The 2039-nt window shown below is 50.4% G+C and overlaps 2 annotated features.

Moving 5' to 3' along the window:
• Positions 623-702: an enhancer, noted in NCBI's record as "active region_12591". NCBI's record gives its function as "activates an Ori minimal core promoter by ATAC-STARR-seq in GM12878 lymphoblastoid cells {active_cell/tissue: GM12878}" and the evidence as "EXISTENCE:reporter gene assay evidence [ECO:0000049][PMID:35858748]".
• Positions 813-922: an enhancer, noted in NCBI's record as "active region_12590". NCBI's record gives its function as "activates an Ori minimal core promoter by ATAC-STARR-seq in GM12878 lymphoblastoid cells {active_cell/tissue: GM12878}" and the evidence as "EXISTENCE:reporter gene assay evidence [ECO:0000049][PMID:35858748]".

Here is a 2039-nt window from a genome sequence, read left to right as displayed (position 1 = left end):
TGCAATCTTGGCTCACTGCAACCTCCGCCTCCTGGGTTCAAGTGATTCAGCCTCTTGAATAGCTGCGACTACAGGCTTGTGCCACCACGCACGGCTAATTTTTGTATTTTTAGTAGACATGGGGTTTCACCATGTTGGTCAGGCTGGTCTCGAACTCCTGATCTCAAGTGATCCGGCCACCTCAGCCTCCCAAAGTGTTGGGATTACAGGTGTGAGCCACCGTGCCCGGCCAGATGCTGTTTTTTTATGTTGTCTGGGCAGTCATTTGTGCGCTCCATGAACAGTTGCATGGTCCTTTTTAGCATCAGACTAGAGCTATGATTCCCAGCCCACAGTGACAGAGGCCACCTAGCCACCTTTGCAATGGCAACCACATTGACGATGACAGTCTTCCTTCCTTTTCCTTTGTCTTCAGCTGTGGCAATCAGCGGGACACTGCTCTGACCCCTGGCATTGGTTTTGACAAATACTTGGCTCCTTGTTAGCTTTATTAATAAGATGAAGAGATATTTGACAGCTACATTCTCCCCCTAAAAGAAGAAGGAGTGGCCCACATGGCTTCTGGAGTTCTTGGGAACTGACACAAAACTTGCCTCTTGGTGGAGGCTGGGTTTGCCTCAGGTGGGCCCAGAGGAGACTCCGCAGCTTTAGGAATCACCTCCCTCTCTCTCAGCTGGCTTTTTCTTTTTTCTTTTTTTGACAGAGTCTCGCTCTGTGGCCCAGGCTGGAGTGTGGTGGTGCAATCTCGGCTCGCTGCAACTTCCGCCTCCCAGGTTTACTCGATTCTCTTGCCTCAGCCCTCTGAGTAGCTGAAACTACAGGCGCATGCCACCACGCCTGGCTAATTTTTGTATTTTTAGTATAGACGGGGTTTCACCATGTTGGCCAAGTTGGTCTCAAACTCCTGACCTCAAGTGATCCACCTGCTTCAGCCTCCCAAAGTGCTGGGATTACAGGCATGAGCCACTGCGCCTGACCTTTTTGTATTTTTTTAATAGAGACAGGGTTTCGCCATGTTGCCCAGGCTAGTCTCAAACCCCTGGCCTCAGGTGATCCGCCTGCTGTGGCCTCCCAAAGTGCTGGGATTACAGACATGAGCCACCATGCCCAGTCTCATCTGGCCTTTTAAAACATTTGCAAAACTTTCCTTACCTGCTGTGTTGCACAGTTCTGGCTGAAATATACCTCCCTATAATTTCCACCGAAAGTGGAAAAAAGTCTAGTTCTTCTTTCATATAAAACAATGCAATTATTTAGGCTGTGCAGGATCGGGGTGTCAGGTACTTTTCAGGTCTGAGGTGAGGCCGTGGGCAGGGCAGCTTCTACCCACCTCATCTCAACTCTCCCTTTTCTTGCTCAGTGTCACATGTAGGACCAGTTACATAATTTGTGGGTCTAGTGCAAATGAAAATTCAAAATTATCAGGAATTTCAAGGTGGCGACAGCAAGGCATCAAACCAAGCATGGCAGCTTCTGAGCACAGGGCCCCTGTGACGGCACGGGTCACACATCTATGAAGCTGGCTCTGGTCTCATGACTCATGTGTGTCAGGTCAGGGACTGGGTCTGAGCCTTCTGCCCAGAAAGGTGCTGTAAAAGGTCAGTCACAGAAGCCTTGTAGCAAGCCAGGCAGACACAGGCAGGCAGATGTGGTGCTGGGAACTTGGTTGATGTTTCACCTCCTGGCCCTCAGCTCCCCATCTGTAATATGGGTCATGATACCCCTGTGGTAGGCTGCTGATGACCCCCAAGGATATCAGGCCCTGACCCCTGGAACCTGTGAATGTTGCCCTATATGGTGTCTTAGTTTGTTTGGACTGGGTGCCTTAGAAACAACAAAAATGGGCCGGGCGCGGTGGCTCACGCCTGTAATCCCAGCACTTTGGGAGGCTGAGGCAGGTGGATCACCTGAGGTTGGGAGTTCAAGATCAGCTTGACCAACACAGAGAAACCCCATCTCTACTAAAAACACAAAATTAGCCAGGCATGGTGGCTCATGCCTGTAATCCCAGTTACTCAGCTGGCTGAGGCAGGAGAATC

The sequence above is a fragment of the Homo sapiens genome, chromosome 17, assembly GCF_000001405.40.
Source record: "Homo sapiens chromosome 17, GRCh38.p14 Primary Assembly".
In the NCBI taxonomy this organism is placed as follows: Eukaryota; Metazoa; Chordata; class Mammalia; order Primates; family Hominidae; genus Homo; species Homo sapiens.
Note: the sequence above shows the minus strand (reverse complement) of the source record. Positions and strands in the feature narration are given on the sequence as shown.